The 21058-nt window shown below is 41.8% G+C and overlaps 1 protein-coding gene and 1 pseudogene across 4 annotated transcripts in view; one reads left to right on the forward strand and one right to left on the reverse strand.

The window, feature by feature from the left end:
- Positions 1-21058, reverse strand: part of PTBP3 (polypyrimidine tract binding protein 3) — a 162168-nt gene that overhangs the window by 125037 nt on the left and 16073 nt on the right. The gene's annotated exons all lie outside the window — the stretch shown is intronic.
- On the forward strand, positions 19959-20411 carry RPL32P22 (ribosomal protein L32 pseudogene 22; annotated as a pseudogene).

The raw sequence follows: 21058 nt of genomic DNA on the forward strand, positions 1-21058 counted from the left end.
AAGAGAGATTAAAAATAAACGTGTAGGCATGGGCTGATATATATACTTTTGTTTACAAGTTCTACCTATTGAGAGGATCAAGGACCAAACAATGACATCACAGTAACTTTTTTTGTGGGGGCGGGGGTGGGCAGTCTCACTATGTTGCCCAGACTGAACTCAAACTCCCATGCTCAAGTAATTCTCCCACTTCAGTCTCCTGAGTAGCTGGGACTACAGGTGTGCACCACCATGCCCAGCATTGCCCATATCTTAGTTTCTAGACACCATTGGCTGATAAAAAAGGAACCAAGACTCCTCAGAGAAGTTGTTGGTTCCAGGGCTGGATCGGGGAAAATGCAGGATGAGCCTAGAGTATCTTGAGGCTCATTTTGAGGACAGAAAGTAAAAAAGTTACTTGCACGCAAAATGTTAACATTAGGGGAATCTGGACAGTGGTTATTCAGATACACTCTGAACAATTTTTTTTTTTTTGAGACTGAGTTTCGCTCTCGTCACCCAGGCTGGAGTGCAATGGTGTGATCTCAGCTCACTGCAGCCTCTGCCTCCCGGGTTCAAGTGATTCTCCTGCCTCAGCCTCCCCAGTAGCTGGGATTACAGGTGCCTGCCACCACACCCGGCTAATTTTTGTATTTTTAGTTCAAAGTGCTTTTTACCAGTTTTCACTACCACTACAAGCGTTAGCTCATATCCTCAACTGGTATTATCCAACTTTAAAAATTTTGTCAAGCAGTCAGTTTAAAATATCTTACATGCAGCTGGGCGTGGTGGCTCTCACCTGTAATCCCAGCATTTTGGGAGGCCGAGGTGGGCAGATCACCTGAGGCCAGGAGTTTGAGAACAGCCTGGCCAACATGGTGAAACCCCGTCTCTACTAAAAATACAAAAAATTAGCTGGGTGTGGTGGTGGCGCCTGTAATCCCAGCTACTTGGGAGGCTGAGGCAGGGAAAATCGCTTGAACCCAGGAGGCGGAGTTTGCAGTGAGCTGAGACCAGGCCATTGCACCCCAGCCTGGGCAACAGAGCAAGACTCTATCTCAAAAAAAAAAAAAAAGAAAAAATCTTACATGCCCTCATTTTTCATTTCATTTCATTAATGCAATTGAATTTCATTTCACATGTTATTGGCCATTCATTGATAAATCTCCTTCAGTAAAGTACCTGTTCATATATTTTACCCATTTTTTTTCATATTTGACTATACATTCTTTACTTATTGGTTTGCAGGAGCTACACACACACATTTTTTTTTCTGACAATATTTGCAGACAGTTCTTCATCCAGTATGTTGCTTCTCTTTTGCTTTTCTTTATGGTGTCTTCTGATAAACAAAAACTTTTCATTTTAATTTTAAAAGGTAAAATTTATCAATCTTTTTTTATTTATGTTTTGGGCCTTTTGTTTAAGCTTCTATTAAGTATTATACCTTAGTTCTTGTGCAGTAAGACAAGAAACAGAAATAAAATATATATGCTACAGTTTAAATAGTATTTGTCCTCTCTGAAACTCATGTTGAAATTTGATTATCATTGTGGCAGTGTTGGGAGATGGGGACCGTTAGGGGGTGATTAGGTCATTAGGGGGAATTAATGCCATTCTTGTTGTAGCCAATTAATACTCAAGAATCCATTAGTTATCACAAGAACAGGTTGTTATAAAGCAAATTGGGCTTCTTTGGCTCTCTTTTGCTTCCTCTCTTGCCACATAATTCCTTCCCTTTTCTGCCATGCTATAAAGGAGCACAAGGCCCCCACCAGATGCAGCTGTCCAGTCTTTGACTTCCCAGCCTCCAGAACTGCAAGCTAAATAAATCTCTTTTCTTTATAAATTATCCAGTCTCAGGTATTCAGTTATAGCAACAGAAAACCTGCTAAAACAATATGAATATTGGAAAGGAAAAATAAGTTGCCATTATTTGCAGCTGATATGATTATCTATGTAGAAAATTCAAAAGTATATCAAAAGTTTTAAAATTAATGCAAAAGAAAAAAATTAATGAGAGAGTTTAATAAGAAGTCTGGGTATAAGATTAACATATGAAAATTAGTTGCATTTCTATATACCACAAAAACAATTAGATAATATTATTTAAAAATGGCTAGCCAGGCACGGTGGCTCACACCTGTAATTCCACACTTTGGGAGGCCGAGGCGGGTGGATCACCTGAGGTCGGGAGTTCGAGACCAGCATGACCAACATGGAGAAACCCCCATCTCTACTAAAAATACAAAATTAGCCGGGTGTGGTGTCACATACCTGTAGTCCCAGCTACTCGGGAGGCTGAGGCAGGAGAATTGCTTAAACTGGGAAGGCGGAGGTTGCGGTGAGCCGAGATGACACCATTGCACAGCAAAAATAATAATAATAATGAAAATAATACCACTGCCACAGAGCTATATACTTTAAAATGGTTAAAATGGTAAACTTAAATGAGCTAAGCATGGTGGCACACACATGTAGTCCCACCAGCTACTCCTTGGGAGGCTGAGGCAGAAGGATTACTTGAGCCCAAAGAGTTCCAGGTGACAGCGAGTTGTGATTGTGTGCCATTGTACTTCAGCCTGAGAGACAGAGTAAGACCCTCATCTCTAAAAAAAAAAAAAAAAAAAAAAAAAAAAAGGAAAAAAAATTTTTTTTTTTTGAGATCAGAGTCTTACTCTGTCACCCAGGCTGGAGTGCAGTGGAGTGATCTCAGCTCACTGCAGCCTCCACCTCCTGGGTTCAGGTGATTCTTGTGCCTCAGCCTCCTCAGTAGCTGGGACCGCAGGAGCACACCACCATGCCCAGCTAATTTTTGTATTTTTTTTTTCAGTAGAGTTGGGGTTTTACCATTTGGCCAGGCTGGTTTTGAACTCCAGACCTCAAGCGATCCACCCACATTGGCCTCCCAGAATGTTGGGATTACAGGCGTAAGCCACAACACCTGGCCAAAAAAAAGTAAATTTAAATATAAAAATTAAAAATAAATGACTTCTAGAATAGCTCAGACAGTCTTAAAGAATAATAATGTGGGGACTAGCTCTATCTAATATTAAAATTTGTATATCATGAAGTCAAATAATCAAGAAAAAATGTAGTATTGCCATAGGAATAGACAAATTTTCTTTTTTTTTTTCTTTTTGAGACAGAGTCTCGCTCTGTTGCCCAGGCTGGAGTACAGTGGCATGATCTCGGCTCACTGTAACCTCCACCTCCCAGGTTCAAGCAATTCTCCCTGCCTCAGCCTCCCAAGTAGCTGGGAGTATAGGTGCCCGCCATCATGCCCAGCTAATTTTTGAGACGGGGTTTCGCCATGTTAGCCAGGCTGGTCTTGAACTCCTGACCTCAGGTAATCCACCCTTTTTGGCCTCCCAAAGTGCTGGGATTACAGGCGTGAGGAGATCTTGGCAAATATAAAAACTTTCTTTTCTTTTTTCTTTTTTTTCCTTTTTTCTGAAACGAAGTCTTGCTCTGTGGCCCAGGCCGGAGTGCAGTGGCGTGATCTCAGCTTGCTGCAACCTTTGTCTCCTGGGTTCAAGCGATTCTCCTGCCTCAGCCTCCCGAGTAGCTGGGACAAAGGTGCGTGCCACCATGCCCAGCTAATTTTTGTATTTTTAGTAGAGGTGGCATTTCTCCATGTTGGCCAGGTGAGTCTCGAACTCCTGACCTCAGGTGATCCACCTGCCTCAGCCTCCCAAGGTGCTGGGATTACAGGCATGAGCCACCACACCTGGCCGGCAAATATAAAAACTTGATGTAGGACACAGGAGGCATTTAGGGGAAAAAAATGGAAGTTATTTTCTTCTTCATTCCAAATACAGGTACCAACCTCATACCCATATACAATGAGCAGCTCCAGATGACTTACAAATTAAAGGGAAAACTTTTAAGGTTTTAGATGGTTTAGGAGACTATATGACTTTAGGATATAAAAGGTGTTCTTAAACACAATTTCAATTTAAGGTTAGAGACATACACACTTTAGCAATTCTTTGCTTGTATGTTTGTTTTTTCCTGAGACAGAGTCTCTTGATCTGTCACCCAGGCTGGAGCGCAGTGGCGCTTTCTCAACTCACTTTGCCTCCCAGGTTCAAGTGATTCTCCTGCCTCAGCCTCCTGAGTAGCTGGGACTACAGGTGCGTGCCACCACACCCAGTTAATTTTTGTATTTTTAGTAGAGATGGAGTTTCGCCATGTTGGCCAGGCTGGTCTTGAACTCCTGACCTCAGGTGATCTGCTCACCTCACCCTTCCAAAGTGCTGGGATTACAGGCCACTTTAGCAATTATAATCCTAGATGTATATAACCTAGAGCACCAGATGTATATAACCTTGTGCACCAGAAGATGTATGAAAAAATATTCATAGCATCACTGGTTGTAATGCAATATATAAATAGCCTAATGCTATATATAAATAACCTAATTTATCTATTTTATTGCAATATATAAATAACCTAAAAGCCTATCAACAAGAGAAATGGGCAAATAAATTGTGGCATATTCACACAATGGAATACTATATCACAGTGAAAATGAATAAAATACCATAGGCAATGATATATAGAAATCAAAACAAAATATTGAATTAAAACTATATGTACTGGGATACCTTTTTTTTTTTTTTTTTGAGACAGGGTCTCACTCTGTCACCCAGGCTGGAGTGCAGTGGTATGATCATGGCTAACTGCAGCCTTGACCTCCCTGGGCTCAGATGATCCTCCCACCTCAGCCTCCCCAGTAGCTGGGACTACAGGCATGTGCCACCACGCCTGGCTAATATTTGTATTTTTTTGTGGAAACAGGGTTCTGCCGTGTTGCCAAGGCTGGTCTCGAACTCTTGGGCTCAAGTGATCCACCTGTCTTGGCCTCCCAAAGTGCTGAGATTACAGGTGTGAGCTACTGTACCATTTTTATAATGTTAATAATCAAGCACAACTAGGCAAAACTCATCAATATATTGTGTGTGTATGTGTATCTATACATAAATACATATACATATGTATAGACACACAATTTTATAAAACATGACAAGGGATTAATACAAAACTCAGCATAGTGGTTACTTCAGGGGAGGAGGCAGGGAGATGGAATCAAGAGAAGCACAGGATTTCATCATCTCTAGTCCTTTAGCTGGTTGTTGGTTTCACAGGTGTTTACTATTCTGCCTCATAATTTATATATATTACACATATTTTGAATGTATCAAGTATTATGCACACACATATCCACAAAATTTAGCCTATTTTTGTCAGCACTGACGTAGGTTCCAAGACCTCATGCCTCAGAATAGGGTTTCTCAACCTCAGCACCACTGACATTTTTAATTCTTTGTCATGGAGGGGAGGGACTTCCCAGTGAATTATTGGATGTTTAGTAGACAGTGTATTATTGCATATTTAGACTCTATTCACTAGATGCTAGTACTGTTAGAGTAGGTAGTTAGGCAGGCATGAGCAGGGCAGGAGACGGTGTCCCGTCCAAGGAATGTCGGGCGGCCATCAGATGGTCAGGCAGTTGGTAAATTATTTCTCTAAAATGATAATTGGCCGCAGCCAGCGCCAGGAAAAGGTAGTTTCCCAAAAGACAGAAAACACCTAAAACTGGTGATCAGCAGCTTCCCGATTAGATATCTGGAGTTGGGCCAGTGGCCTCGAGCATGTGCACTAAGAGACAAAATGGCGGAGCTTAACTGGTATATGATGACCTTTCTCTACCAACAATGAACTGGTAAGGGAAAAAAATGCCTCAGATGAGCATGTGCACAAGTTCGGTAAACACACAGAGCATGTGGCCCCTCCCAAGTGTTAGCAAGCCACTGCGCATGCGCACAGCCCACTCCGAAGGAAGAATCGGGAGAGCGGAGGCAACCGCCCGGAAGCATCACAAGTTATAAAACCCCAAGTCAAAGATCAAATCATACACCTGAATCTCTCAAGTACCCGGCTTGGCCCTCTTCCAAGTGTACTTTACTTCGTTTCATTCCTGCTCTAAAACTTGCCTCCGTCTCTCCCTATGCCTTATGCCCTTCTTTCAAATCCTTTTTTCTGAGGAGGCAAGAATTAAGTTGCTGCAGATCCGCTAACAATACCACCCCCCCTCCCAGATGTGACAACTAAAAAGGTCTCCAGACATTCGCAAACATCTCCAGGGCAGCAAACTCCACTCACGGGTTGAGAATATTGCCTTAGGGGATTTCCCTTATTTTCTTCCAAATTCATTCAATCATTTAAAATGGTGTTGTGGTATAAGAAATATATTTAGTCTTTGTCCCTGGTTCCTGTCACGGACTTCCTAAAACCCTGGGAATTTCCTGAAGGAGAGGAGTGTCTTTTGTTATTTATCATGAGTCTCTTTCATAACCTCTGGGTTTATGCTAATAGGGTGATTTAGGGTAGATCCTCTAGGTAGCCTCAGTATGGTGTCAGTAGGAAAGGAGGGGGCTGGATATTAAGCTCTATAAAAACTCTTGAACAATCAGATTTGATGAGCTTCCGGGTTGCTAGACATATGGAGGCGCTGGGAGGTTGGCATGCCCAGAGAGGGTATGGAAGTTCTGTACCACCACTCCTCATATCTTGCCCTATGCATCTCTTCCATCCGAGTGTTCCTGAGTTGTGTTCGTATAATAAACTGGTAAATGTAAGTAAAGTGTTTTCCTGAATTCTGTGAGCCATTCCAGCAAACTATCTAACCTGAAGAGGGAATCACAGGAACCCCCCAATTATTATAACCAGTTGGTCAGAAGCATGGGGACTTGCGATCGGTGTCTCAAACAGGGCTGTGTTATGGGACTTGAACCCTTAACCTGTGGAATTTGACACTATCTCTACATATAGTGTGCAATTTACCAGGCGCGGTGGCTCACACTAGTAATCCCAGCACTTTGGGTGGCTGAGGCGGGTGGATCACCTGAGGTCAGGAGTTCAGGACCAGCCTGGCCAACATGGTGAAACCCTGTCTCTACCAAAAATACAACAATTAGTCAGGTGTGGTGGCAGGCGGGGCGCCTGTAATCCCAGCTACTCGGCAGGCTGAGGCACGAGAATCGCTTGAATCTGGGAGATGAAGGTTGCGGTGAACCGAGATTGCGCCACTGCACTCCAGCCTGGGTGACAGAGTGAGACTCTGTCTCAAAAAAAAAAAAAAAAAAAAAAAAAAGAATTCAGTTGAATTACAGGACACCCAGTTGGAAATTGCCTGTTGGAGAATTGTTTGTCTGTGGGGAAAAACCCCCACACATCTGGTCACAGAAGTGGTCTGTGTTTTATGAAAGTGTAGAGAATATGAGTGTGTTTTCCTCAGATGGTTTTTTTTTTAAATTTATGTACCATTTAAAGATTTTTAAATTTTTAAATTGAAGACCATTATTCTAAGTGAAATAACTCAGGAGTGGAAATCCAAACATCCTATGTTCTTACTCATAAGTGGGAGCTAAGCTATGAGGATGCAAAAGCATAAGAATGATACAATGGACTTTGGGGACTCAGAGGGTAAAGGGTGGAATGGGGGTGAGGGATAAAAGACTACACATTGGGTTCAGTGTACACTGCTCGGATAATGGGTGCCTCAAAATCTCACAAATCACCACTAAAGAACTTATTCATGTACAAAAATAAGTAAATAAGAAAAAAGATTTTAAAATTTTTAAAATAAACTTTATTTTTTATAGCAATTTTAGATTTATGGAAACATTGTGATAGTACAGAGCATTCTTCCACGCCCAGTACCCAATTTTTGCTATTAACATCTTAACATTAGTAGAGTACATTTGTTAATAAACCAATACTGATATGTCGTTGAGAAGAGTGGAAATATTTTAATAAAAATCATTAATTGTTACAAAATTTCCGGGGAAGATGGTAGTCTAGGAAAATAAAAAATGAACCAGAACCAGAAAAGAAATTTCTCTTCTTTTCTTAATATGTTGTTGTTAATTCTCTCTCACACTCTGTCTCTCTCTCTCTTTTGGCATAAACAACAAACATTATCTCACACTGTCTTTAGGTCAGAAGCTCAGAAATATCTCAGAGTCTCTCATGAGGTTGCACTCAAATAATTCTTCTTTCCTTTTTTTTCTTTTTTCCTAAGACGAAGTCTCACTCTGTTGCCCAGGCTGGAGTGCAGTGGCACAATCTCAGCTCACTGCAACCTCCGCCTCCTTGGTTCAAGTGATTCTCCTGCCCCAGCCTCCCGAGTAGTTGGGATTACAGGCACCCGCCACCACGCCCAGCTAATTTTTGTATTTTTAGTACCATGTTGGCCAGCCTGGTCTAGAACTCCTGACCTCAAGTGATCTACCTGCCTCAGCCTCCCAAAGTGCTGGGATTACAGGCATGAGCCACCGTGCCTGGCCCAAGTAATTCTTAATTTAGTTATTAATTAAAGTCCATACTTTATTAAGATTGGATTCATTTTTACCTAGTATTATATTTCTGTTCCAGGATCCCCTCCAAGATACCATATTACATTAAGCTATCATGTCCTCTTGGCTGTGACAGTTTCTCACTTGCCTCGTTTGTGATGACCTTCACAGTTTTAAGGCGTACTGCTCAAGTATTTTATGGAATGTCCTTCAAGTGGAACTTGTTTTTCTCATGATTAGACCAGGGTTATATGTTTTTGGGAGAAAGACTACAGAGATAAAGTGCCATTGACGTCATATCAAGGGTCCTATTGTTAACATGACTCATGATGGTTAATGTTGACCTTGATCATCTGACTGAGGTAGTCTGTCAATTTTCTTCACTCTAAAGTTATCTTTCCTTGCCTTTCCATATTGTACTCTTTGGAAAGAAGTCATTATGCACAGCCCACACTTAAGGAATGGGGAGCTATGCTCTACTTCCTTGAGTAAGCAGTGTTTACATAAATTATTTAGAATTCTTCTGTACAGATGATTGGTCATTCTCCCTCATTTACTTATATGTTCAATCATTTAATTATATCAGTATGGACTCATGAATATTTATTTATTTTATACTTTGATTATAATTCAATATCATTTCATTTTGTTGCCCAAATTTTTCCAGCTTTGGCCATTGGGAGCTCTTACAGTTGACCTATGTGCTCCTTTGACATACCCCTCATCAATGTGGGGGTTTTTTGGTTTTGTTTTTTGAGCACTTTCTTACTTTATGGCACAACAAGATGCTCCAGGCTCATCATGTACATTTACTACCTCAGTCCTAGAATCAGCCATTTCTCAAGGAACTCTAGTTCCTTTTTTTTTTTTCCCCCAAGACAGAGTCTCACTCTGTTATCCCACAGCCTCAACCTCCAAGGCTCAAGTGATCCTCTTGTCTCAGCCTCCTGAGTAGCTGGGACTACAGGCAGCTGCCACCACTCCCAGCTAGTTTTTAAATATTTTTTTGTAGAGAAAGGGTCTCACCATGTTGCCCAGGCTGGTCTCCAACTCCTGGGGCTCAAGCAATACTCCCACCTGGACTTCCCAAAGTGCTGAGATCACAGATGTGCCACTGTACCCTGCCTGGTTCCTTTTATTAAAGTACAGTATTTGAAAGTAAAATCTAGGTACTAGGAGTTCTCATTGTTACTGGAATTAAGGTTTTACAGTTTTTTAAATTTTTTTTTAGTTTGAGAGTGTCAGGAGGTCTGGCCTGTCATAGGATTTTAATCTTCTAGTGCTTATTTACTCTGCTCAGTTTACTTTGGTCAACGGTTGCAGGTCTGCCTTGCAGGTCACTGTTAACCCTTCAGCCTCCCTTCACTTCCCAATTTTCAGTCATGGGTCAGCAAACTGAGTCCTGAAAATAAATAAAAATGCAAGATACATCTTCTCTTCTTCAGTCCTACCTTCCTTAACGTCTGAAAATGAACCCCAGGGTGTATTTCTTAATTTTTCCGTGGTGCACCTAGGTCCCAGTTCTTATTTCTTCACATTTCAAATTGCTTCTGGGCCTTCAGGAACATCTCGTTTACTCACTAAAAATGGCACGGAGTGACTATTTGGAGGAAATGTTTGTCAAATCTCACCGCTTTCCTTGATTTGGGTACAAATTGAAGTTATTCTTCACAGTCTGTAATGGGTCATGTCAGTTGCATAGTTTGACTATAGTTGAAATTTCTTTTTTGGTTCTGGTTCATTTTTTTGTGTATTTTCCTAGACTGCCATCTTCCTTTGAAGTTAAGTACCAATTAATGACTTTCTTTTTTTTCTTTTTTTTTTTGAGACAGAGTCTTCTGCTCTTTCCCAGGCTGGAGTGCAGTGGTGTGATCTCGGCTCACTGCAATGTCCACCTCCCGGGTTCAAGCGATTCTCCTGCTTCAGCCTCCTGAGTAGCTGGGATTACAGGTGCCTGCCACCACGCCTGGTTAATTTTTGTATTTTTAGTGGAGACAGGGTTTCACCATGTTGGCCAGGCTGGTCTCAAACTCCTGACCTCGAGTGATCCACCCACCTTGGCTTCCCAAAGTGCTGGGACTACAGGCGTGAGCCACGGCGCCCAGCTGATGACTTTCATTAAAATATTTTCACTCTTCTCAAATAGCCATGGATTCTCTCCTTTCACCAGCCCGTAACATGATTCTCCCCTAACTTACCTAGTCCAAACCAGTTCACTAGCTTGTGAGTTACCCTAATCTTTTCAAAGAAGTGAAGGTGAAAGAGACAGCTGTGAGTAAGGTAGCAGAGAAAAAGGGACAACTCTCTTTCTTTTCCTTTTTTTTGTAGTTTTTGTAGAGGCGGGGTTTCACCATGTTGGCCAGGCTTGTCTCAAACTCGTGACCTCAGGTGATCCACCCACCTCGGCCTCCCAAAGTGCTGGGATTACAGGTGTGAGCCACCGCGCCTGGCCTCTTTTCCTTTTTTTCCCCTCTTTTCCACTTAACCTGTTATGTATAACTCTTGCTCCCTGACCTGAAGTTAGCCTTCTGTGCTAATAGAGTTGATTTACTTTTCCTGTCTTGGCATTCTATTTGTCTACAGATATTTGAAGTAAATAAATATAATATAGATGCTCTTTGGGAGGCTGAGGCGGGCTGATCACCCGAGGTCAGGAGTTGGAGACCAGCCTGGCCAACATGGTGAAACCCCATCTCTGCCAAAAATACAAAAAAATTAGCCAGGCGTGGTGGCTGGCGCCTGTAATCCCAGCTAATCGGAAGGCTGAGGCAGGAGAATCACTTGAACCCAGGAGGTAGAGGTTTTAGTGAGCCAAGATCATGCCACTGCACTCCAGCCTGGGTGACAGAACAAGACTCTGTCATTAAAAAAAAAATATATATAGATGCTTATAATATTGTAATTGCTATTATAATGGACAAAATAGTTCCTTTTCGGCTATCTGAGACCACATCACTAATAGGAACCATACATTTTATTTTACAACTACAACAAAGCCTTCATTTTGGCTACAAATTCAAACCTCTCCTCTAAATCTTTTGACATATCTGTTCAACAAGGAGCCAGATAGATTGGTTAGGGTATATCTGTTTTATGTTTCCTGATTTGTCTTTAGTGGAAATAATAGCCCTGTGCAAAAAGCAAACCACAGCCCACAAGGTCAGTGGTAAAGCTCTTGGGTTACCAAACAACTGGGTGAAGCTGTTGTTCTCCCGTATCAATATGGTTCTGAAAAATATTTCACTGCAGATGATCCCACAGGGCACTGGCAAATGTTCAGCCTTGAACAGGCAAACAAGCAAAAAGTCAGTAGCAGAAAAACAAAACAAAACAACAAAATACAGCCTGGAAAGCTGCTCTGTGAAGAATATGTTATTTATGTAACTGGAAAAGCAAACCTCCTCTCCATACCACCCCCCTGGGGGTGGAGGATTACTTGTATCAGAGGATAATAAGTCCTCATATTGCCTCTGTTCTGGAGCAGTGGGAGTATGAGACCTTAATCAAGAATTTAATTTAGTAGAGGGTAGTAGGAGGATGACACCTACAAAAATTTAATTTGGCACAGAATAAATACATGGGGTATTTCCAAAGCTTGATCTTGGTGTAGCAAAGCAGTAACAAGAAAGAGAGATGGATAGCTCAATTTGGGGGCCTGATTTTTAAGCTAATTTCAAACATCTTTTTATTTTTTTTAAATGCTTGGTTAGGCACAATCTGAAAACTAGAAGATAAAAAAGAGCTGACATTGTTCTGCAAAATAAAATGCTATCTTGATAGTGAGCAGGGGTAAAGTTACATTGATTATAGGAGTCAAATGTTTCTCTTTCTCAGCGTGGAAAACGTACATGTACTCACAGTGTAATACCGTTTCTCAGAATTAATGCCTGTCTTTGGGAGATGTGGGTGTGTTTAACATAATAGTTATTTACTGGGCACCAGGAGGAATTAGGTGGAAATATCTCCAAGGGAACTGAACTTGGACTACCCACACCCACCGTGGATTTTCTTGCTAGAGCCATATTTTAAATCAAATGAATAATTCAGACCTGAGAAAATGCTTGGCTTGGGAAAAGAGGATGGATCCTGGTATGAGACCAACCCCTGTGAGTGGGGCCTGGAATCTACTGAAAGGAGGAGGGAGATATTAAAGGAAATGTTGAAGAAGGAAATTTGAACAACATCAATGCTCTGAGAAAGAAATGCAGATGTGAAGACAAGGGGCAATAGTAGGGATCCAGGTGTGCTCAAGGCCTTTGCGATGGTTTATATTCTTGTGATAATTTTATCTTCAGACTGAGTATCATTTAAGAGTTAGGTCCAGCTGCATACAACAGAAAACTCAGTAACAAGATAAACTAGATACAAATGTATTTCTCATGCAAAGGAAGTTCAGAAGTAGTGGTTTCAGGGCTGATATGACACTCCATTTCATGTTCATCAAAGACCCGTCTTCTTTTGTTTCCATTACATAAGCATATGGCTTTCATCATTCTTAAGATTACAAAATGGCTAAGAACTCTTTTTCTTTTTTTTTTTTTTTTTTTTGTGGAGGGTGGGTGTTGGGGAGTTGCCCAAGCTGGAGTGCAGTGGCGTGATCACAGCTCACTGCAGGCTTGACCTCCTGGGTTCAAGCAATCCTCAGCCTCCTGAGTAGTTGTGATTACAGGCATGCGCCACCGCGCCTGGCTAATTTTTGTATTTTTTTGTAGAGACAGGGTTTCGCGTTGGCCAGGCAGTCTCAAACTCCTGGACTCAAGCCATCTATCCGGCTTGGGCTCACAAAGTGCTGGGAATACAGGCAGGAGCCACCACACCCCACCTGGAAATAAAAGTTTCTTTCTTTTCTTTTCTTTCTTTCTTTCTCTTTCTCTTTCTCCTTCCTTCCTTCTTTCTTTCTCTTTCTTTTCTTTCCTTCCTTCTTTCCTTCTTCTTTTCCTTCTTCCTTTCTTCCTCCCTCCCTTTCTCTCTCTCTCTCTCTTAGATGGATTCTCCTGCCTCAGCCTCCCAAGTAGCTGGGATTACAGGCGCACACCACCACACCAAGCTAATTTTTTGTATTTTTAGTAGAAACAGGATTTCACCATGTCGACCAGGCCAGTCTAGAACTCCTAACCTCAGGTGATCCACCCGCCTCGGCGTCCCAAAGTACTGAGATTACAGGTGTGAGCCACAGTACCGGACTGGAAACTCTTTAAAGCAGCTTTCCCAGAAGTCCTTCCCAGCATCTTCCACATACGTCTCATAAGCCGTAATTTGGTCATGTGGCCATCCCTGGCTGTAAAAGTGGCTGGGAGGTGCAGTGTTTTTGCTGGTTATATTGTCACCTCTAAAAATAATGTTGGTAAGAAGTAGTGGGTAAGCCACTAGCAGTCTGTGTGACATAGCAGTTGTCATATAGTTAAGATTTTTTTCTCTTATGCAATAATTCCACAACTCTTTGGTGAAGAGTTGTGTGGGGCTGGTGTGGTACATAAAGCAACAGAGCAAAAAAAAAAAATGGTGAAATACAGCTTGATCCATGTAGTCACTCCGCTGCTTGTGCTCATATAAGGGAGCAATTGTCTACTGAGGGAATTGTTTTCTAGAATTCCAGGTATCTAGCTCCAAGTTGAGGAAAACCCACAGTGTACTTTGGAGCAGTGGGATTGTCAGAGATATAAGGGAAAGACTCAAGAGGCTTTTGAGACAATTGCGTGTGCGCACACACACACACACACACACACACACAATTTGGCCCCAACCATTTCATTTCAGAGCAGGTGTATATTCATTTCCCTCTTTTTTTTTTTTTTTTTTTTTTGAGACAGAGTTTCACTCTTGTTGCCCAGGCTGGAGTGCAATGGCGTGATCTCAACTCACTGCAACCTCCACCTCCCAGGTTCAAGCGATTCTCCTGCCTCAGTCTCCCGAGTAACTGGGATTATAGGCACCCGCCACCACACCCGGCTAATTTTTTTGTATTTTTAGTAGAGACGGGGTTTCACCATGTTGGTCAGGCTGGTCTCGAACTCCTGATCTCAGGTGATCCGCCCACCTCAGCCTCCCAAAGTGTTGAGATTACAGGCATGAGCCACCGCACCCGGCCTCCCTCTACCTTTTAATACTTCATACTAAGACGTGGAAATTCTCTTGCATAACCCAGCAGAGTTGTCAAATCAGGAAATTCATTACTGATACAATACTTTAATCTCTACTGCATATTCCAATTTGTTAATTTCCAGTAGTGTTCTTTTTGTGTTGTTGTTGTTGTTGTTTTGTTTGTTTGTTTTTTCTGAGCAGGGTCTTGCTCTGTCATCCAGGCTGGTGTGCAGTGGTGCAATCACAGCTCACTGCAGCCTCGACCTTCCTGGGCTCAGTTGATCCTCTTACCTCAGCCTCCTGAATAGCTGAGACTACGCGCAGGCAGCCATGCTTACTAATTTTTGTATTTTTTATAGAGACAGGGTTTTATCATGTTGCCCAGGCCGGTCTTAAACTCCTGGGTTCAAGCAATCTGCTAGACTCAGCTTCCCAAAGTGTTGGGATTACAGGTGTGAACCACTGCACCCAGCCTGCCAATAGTGTTCTTTATAGCAATTTTTTTTTTCTATACAGGAACCAGTTCAGGATTATGTGTTGCGTTGAATTGTCATTTCTTCTTTATTGCAGCTTCTTAGACTTTCTTTCTATTTTTTTATGACATCGACATTTTTGACTTCTTATTCACCTTGGAGAAGGTGTAAACAACTGGAGCAATTTTGCCTCCAGAGGACATTTGGCAATTTCCAGAGACATTTTTGGTTGACAAAACTGGAAGAGTTGGAGATAGATGGGGTGATGGTTGCACAACAATGTAAATGTACTTAATGCCGTTGAACTGTACACTTCAATATAGTTAAAATGGTAAATTTTATGTTAGGTATGTTTTACAAAAATAAACAAAAAAATTTGGCCAGGCGCGGTGGCTCATGCCTGTAATCCCAGCATTTTAGAAGGCCAAGGCAGGTGGATCATCTGAGGTCGGGAGTTCAAGACCAGGCTGGCCAACGTGATGATACCCTGTCTCTACTAAAAAAAATAAAAAATTAGCTGGGCGTGGTGGCAGGTGCCTTTAATCCCAACTACCCAGGAGGCTGAGGCAGGAGAATTGCTTGAACGTGGGAGGCAGAGGTTGCAGTGAGTAGATACCATGCCACTGTCCTCTAACCTGGGAGACAGTGAGACTCTGTCTCAAAAAAACAAAAACAAACTGGAAGGAGGGTGCCACTGATGCTACTGGCATGTAGTGGGTACAGACCAAGAATGCTGCTAAACATACTCTAATGCACATGACAGCCTCCCACAAAAAATGATTATCCAACCCAAAATGTCAATAGTGCCACGGCTGAGAAATCCTGGTATGAATTATTAGCATAACCTTGCTAAAGGGTATTAAGTGTGTATATCCTCTGAGCAAACAGTCCCAGTTCTAGAAATGTATTCTATGGAGATATGACTAGTGAGCAATGATGTATACACAAAGGCTTTTTATGGCAAATACCATTCATAATAAAGACAAATTTTAAAACCACTTAAATGTCTATCATAACAGCCAGGAAAGTTGGCATGAACCTGTAGTCCCAGCTACTCACTTGAGGCCAAGAGTTCAAGTCCAGCCTGAACATCATAGCAAGACCTCATCTCCAGAAAAAAATGTCAATCACAAATGAGAATGGTAAAATCAATTTGGAGTACATTCACAAAAAGGAAAATGATGCATCTTCTTTTTGGGGGGCACTGGAGCAGGGACAGAGTCTTGCTCTGTTACCCAGGCTGCAGTACAGTGGCACAATCACTATAGCCTCGACCTCCTGGGCTCAAGCGATCCTCCCACCTCAATCTCCTGAGTATATGGGACCACAGGCATGTGCCACTATGCCTAGCTAAAATTTTTATAATTTTTTGTAGAGACAGTCTCCCAATATTGCCCAGGCTGGTCTCAAACGCCAGGACTCAGGGAATCTCCCATCTTAGCCTCTCAAAGTGCTGGGATTACAGGTGTGCGCCACTGCACCTGACCGCATCTACTTTTAAGAAAAGCTTTAGGCTGGGCGCGGTGGCTCATGCCTTAATCCCAGCACTTTGGGAGGCCGAGGTGAGCGGATCACCTGAGGTCAGGAGTTTGAGACCAGCCTGGCCAACGTGGTGAAACCCCATCTTTACTAAAAAATAGAAAAAAAAAATTAGCCGGGTATGATGGCGGGAACCTGCAGTCCCAGATACTTGGGAGGCTGAGGCAGAGAATAGCTTAACCCCAGGAGGCAGAGGTTGCAGTGAGCTGAGATCGCGCCACTGCACTCCAGCCTGAGCGACAGAGCAAGACTCTGTCTCAAAAAGAAAAAAAAGTTTTAGATGTAAACGTGGAAAGATGTTTATAATATACTAGGTAAGCCAAAGACAGGTTTCAGGCTGGGCACGGTGGCTCACACCTGTAATCCCAGCACTTTGGGAGGCCTAGGCAGGTGGATCACCTGAGGTCGGGAGTTCAAGACGAGCCTGGCCAACATGTTGAAACCCCGTCTCTACAAAAATTCAAAAATTAGCTGGGCATGGTGGCAGGTGCCTGTAATCCCAGCTACTCTAGAGGCTGAGGCAGAAGAATCACTTGAACCCGGGAGGCGGAGGTTGCCGGGAGGCGGAGGTTGCCGTGAGCCGAGATCGTGCCATTGCACTCAAGCCTGGGTGACAGGGCGAGACTCCATCTCAAAAAATAAAAACAAAACACCAAAAAAAAAACAAGTTTCAAAACAATACAATATACACATAATCTCACCATGCTTAAAAACTATAAAAATTAATGTAAAGATTTCAAAGTCTTAGACACATGCCAAATGTTAACATGATTATCTCTGAAGGGTAGTATTAAAGAGGAACTTTCAGTTTCTCTAGCTTGTTGGAATCATGAATCAGAAATATATAGACATTAAAATGCAATAATCAGGTTAATATCCAACAGTTACTAATTAAATAATGACTGGCAATAATTCATGGAGCAAGAAAAGGCACAGCTCGGAGTTCTACGCAGAAGGCTTGGTACATTATCAGAAGCAACTACCACCCCTAAAACCCAAAGGAATTTTTTTTTCCAAGACAGGGTCTTGCTCTGTTGCCCAGGCTGGAGTGCAGTGATGCACTTACAGCTCACTGGAGCCTAAAACTCCTGGGCTCAAGCAGTGCTCCCACCTCAGCCTTCTAAGGACCTGGGACTACAAGCATGCACCACCACACCTGGCTTAATTTTTAAATTTTTTTTTGTAGAATCAGGGTGTCACTGTTGCCCAGGCTGGTCTCATACTCCTGGGCTCAAGTGATCCTCCCACCTTGGCTTCCTAAAGTGTTACGATTACAGGCATGAGGTACAGTTTCTGGCTCACAAGGATTTCTCAGGTGATTCTGAGACAGGGTGAGCTGTCTTGTGGGTAAAGGAAATGGAAATTTTTAAGAGATGTGGGACTCTCTCAAAGCCATTGAAATCATCTGCTCTGAGTCACATTATATTGTTGTTGGCCTCTGACCATCAATTTGTAACATTATTTTTCACTGGAGAAGCCTAAAACATCTTAAAACTCAAATGGAAAAATTTCAATGGCAAGTTATAATACGACTAACAGTAGGTTACGATCCATTAATGAGTCACCAAACTTATTTAGTAGGTTAGAATCAACTTTTTTTTTTTAACAAGGCAGACAAGATTCAAATAAAATAGAATAAAAACTTTGTACTGGGTCTGAATAAATAATTTATTTCCTTTTGTGGGTTGTGGTCAAGAAATTGGAAGGTTACTAAATTACACACTTTAAAAAATGGATTATTATGCAAGCTCAGGGTTAGGAGAGTCCTTATTTGATAACTTAAGCTTAAAGTTGTTGTCAGTGTCATATCCTTTAATATTTCAATTTGATCAGGCATTTTCAATCTCCTATATACTTGAAAATTACTTTTTAACATTGGAGAATTAAACTTCATAGACTTTATTTATTTATTTATTTTTTGTTTTTTTGAGACAGAGTCTCACTCTGTTGCCCAGGCTGGAGTGCAGTGGTGAGATCTTGGCTTACTGAAACCTCTGCCTCCTGGGTTCAAATGATTCTCTTGCCTCAGCCTCCCAAGTAGCTGGGATTACAGGCCTCCACCACCATACCTGGATAATTTTTTTGTATTTTTAGTAGATTCGGGGTTTCACCATGTTGGTCAGGCTGGTCTTGAACTCCTGACCTCAGGTGATCTGCCCATCTCGGCCTCCCAAAGTGCTGGGATTACAGGTGTAAGCCATGGCACCCAGCCTAAACTTCATAGACTTTAGAAGCCACAAAACAAGGGAAGATAACTTTGTCCATTTTATGGTAATTTTGAAAACGTTAATAATATAAAATGGATTGGAGTATCATATCCTGTTTTAATGATTCAAAGCATTATTTTCATTAAGACATTTAAATTTCTACCTTATTTTCCTTTTTTGAGAGCTATAGAAAACTTTGTTATTTTTGCCTTAACCCAAGTCAATTATTATATCACAATATTGTTAATAAATTAACATTTTGTGGCATTATACAATTTTGAATTTTAAAATAACAGTGCCACCTGGTGGTGACTCTAAACATGTTTTTATTTCTCTTCGGTATACATACCAAAAAGTGGAATTGCTCTTTTGACTGTGGACATTCGGGAACTAGCAAGTGTGTTTAACCTGAGAGACTGCCAAACTGTTTTTCAAAGCTACTGAACCATTTTATACTTCCACCAGTAACGTATGAGGGTTCTAATTTCTCCACATCCCATCCGACACTTGTTACTTTCCTTTTTTTTATTATAGTCAACCTAGTGGGTGTACAGTGGAATCTCATTGTGGTTTTGATTTGCATTTCCCTAAGTAATGCTATTGAGCATCTTTTCATGTGCTTGTTGCCATTAGTATATCTTCTTTAGAAAATTATCTATTTGGGGACAGGCATTGTGGCTCACACCTGTAATCCCAGCACTTTGGGAGGCTGAGGCAGGAGGATTGCTTGAGTTCAGGAGTTTGAGACCAGCCTAAGCAACATGGCATGACCCTGTCTCTACAAAAAGTATGAGTCTGTAGTCTCAGCTACTCAGGAGGCTGAGAGGGGAGGATAACTGAGAGGGAGAGGTTGAGGCTGCAGTGAGCCATGGTTGCACCTGAGCAACAAAGTAAGACCCTGTCTAGCAAAAGGAAAAGAAAAAATATCTATTCAAATCGTTGCCCATTTTTTAGTTGGGTTGTTCATTTTTCTGTAGCTGTTGTAAGAATTCTGTGTATATATTGGACACTGGAGCCTTATCAGGTATATGATTTATAAGTATTTTTTCTCATTCTCTAGGTTGTCTTTTCACTTTCTTGATAGTGTCCTGGGATGCACAAATTAATTATTTTAATTCTTATGAAGTTCAATGTATCTTCTTTTTTTTCCCTTCTGTGGCTTGTGCTTTTGGTGTCATATTTAAGAATCCATTGTCAAATCCAAGGTCATGAAGATTTACCCTTATGTTTTCTTTCAAGAGCTTTATAATTTTAGCTCCTACATTTAAGGTCTTTGATCCATTTGGGGTTGATTTTTAGAGCCATCTCTTACTCACCATCATGGCCACCATCAGACCCCTCATGAAGCCCAAGATCATCAAAAAGAGGAGCAAGAAGTTCATTCACCACCAGTCAGAACAATATGTCAAAATTAAGCATAACCGGTGGAAACCCAGAGACAACTGCGTTCATAGAAGATTCAAGGGCCAGATCTTGATGCCCAACATTGGTTATAGAGAAGCAATGAAAACACAAAGCACATGCTGCCCAGCGGCTTCTGGAAGTTTCTGGTACGCATTGTCAAGGACTTGGAAGGGCTGCTGACATGCAGAAAATCTTACTGTCCTGAGATAGCTCACAATGTGTCCTCTGGAACTGCAAAGCCATCATGGAAAGGGCAGCCCAGCTGGCCATCAGAGTCACCAGTCGCAATGCCAGGCAGCACAGCAAAGAAAGGGAATAGACAGCTCATGTGCATGTTTTGTGTTGAAATAAAACCATAAAAACTGTGAAAAATTAATTTTCATATAATTTTTGAGATGGAGTCAGGGGGTGGGTCCAAACTCATTCTTTTATGAATAAGAATATCTAGTTAATACGAATATCTGGGGCTGGGCTTGGTAGCACACGCTTGTGATCTCAGAACTTTGGGAATCTGAGGAGGGCAGATCTCTAGAGCCCAGGAGTTCAAGCCCAGCCTGGGCAACATGGTGAGACCTGTCTCTACAAAAAATACCAGCCTGTAGTCCCAGTTACTCGGGAGGCTGAAGTGGGCCGACTGCATGAGCCCAGGAGGTTGAGGCTGCAGTGAGCCAAGATCCACACACCAATGCACCTCAGCCTGGGCTACAGAGCAAAACTGTCACACACACACACACACACACACACACACACACACACACACACAAAGGCTATTCTTGACCTATTAGTCTTGGTATGCTTGCTGAAAATCAATAGAGCATAAGTGTATCAGTTTATTTATTCTATTAATTGATCTATATGTCTATCCCTATGCCAATACCACATGGTTTTTGCTTTTGTTTTGTAATTATTAGACTTGATTTTTTAGAAGAGTGCTAGATTCACAGAAAAATTGAGCAAAAAGTACTGAGAGTTTCCACATACTCCCTCCTCCACCATTAACAGCCCCAGTTGG

The sequence above is a fragment of the Homo sapiens genome, chromosome 9 (genome assembly GCF_000001405.40).
Source record: "Homo sapiens chromosome 9, GRCh38.p14 Primary Assembly".
NCBI classification, from domain to species: domain Eukaryota; kingdom Metazoa; phylum Chordata; class Mammalia; order Primates; family Hominidae; genus Homo; species Homo sapiens.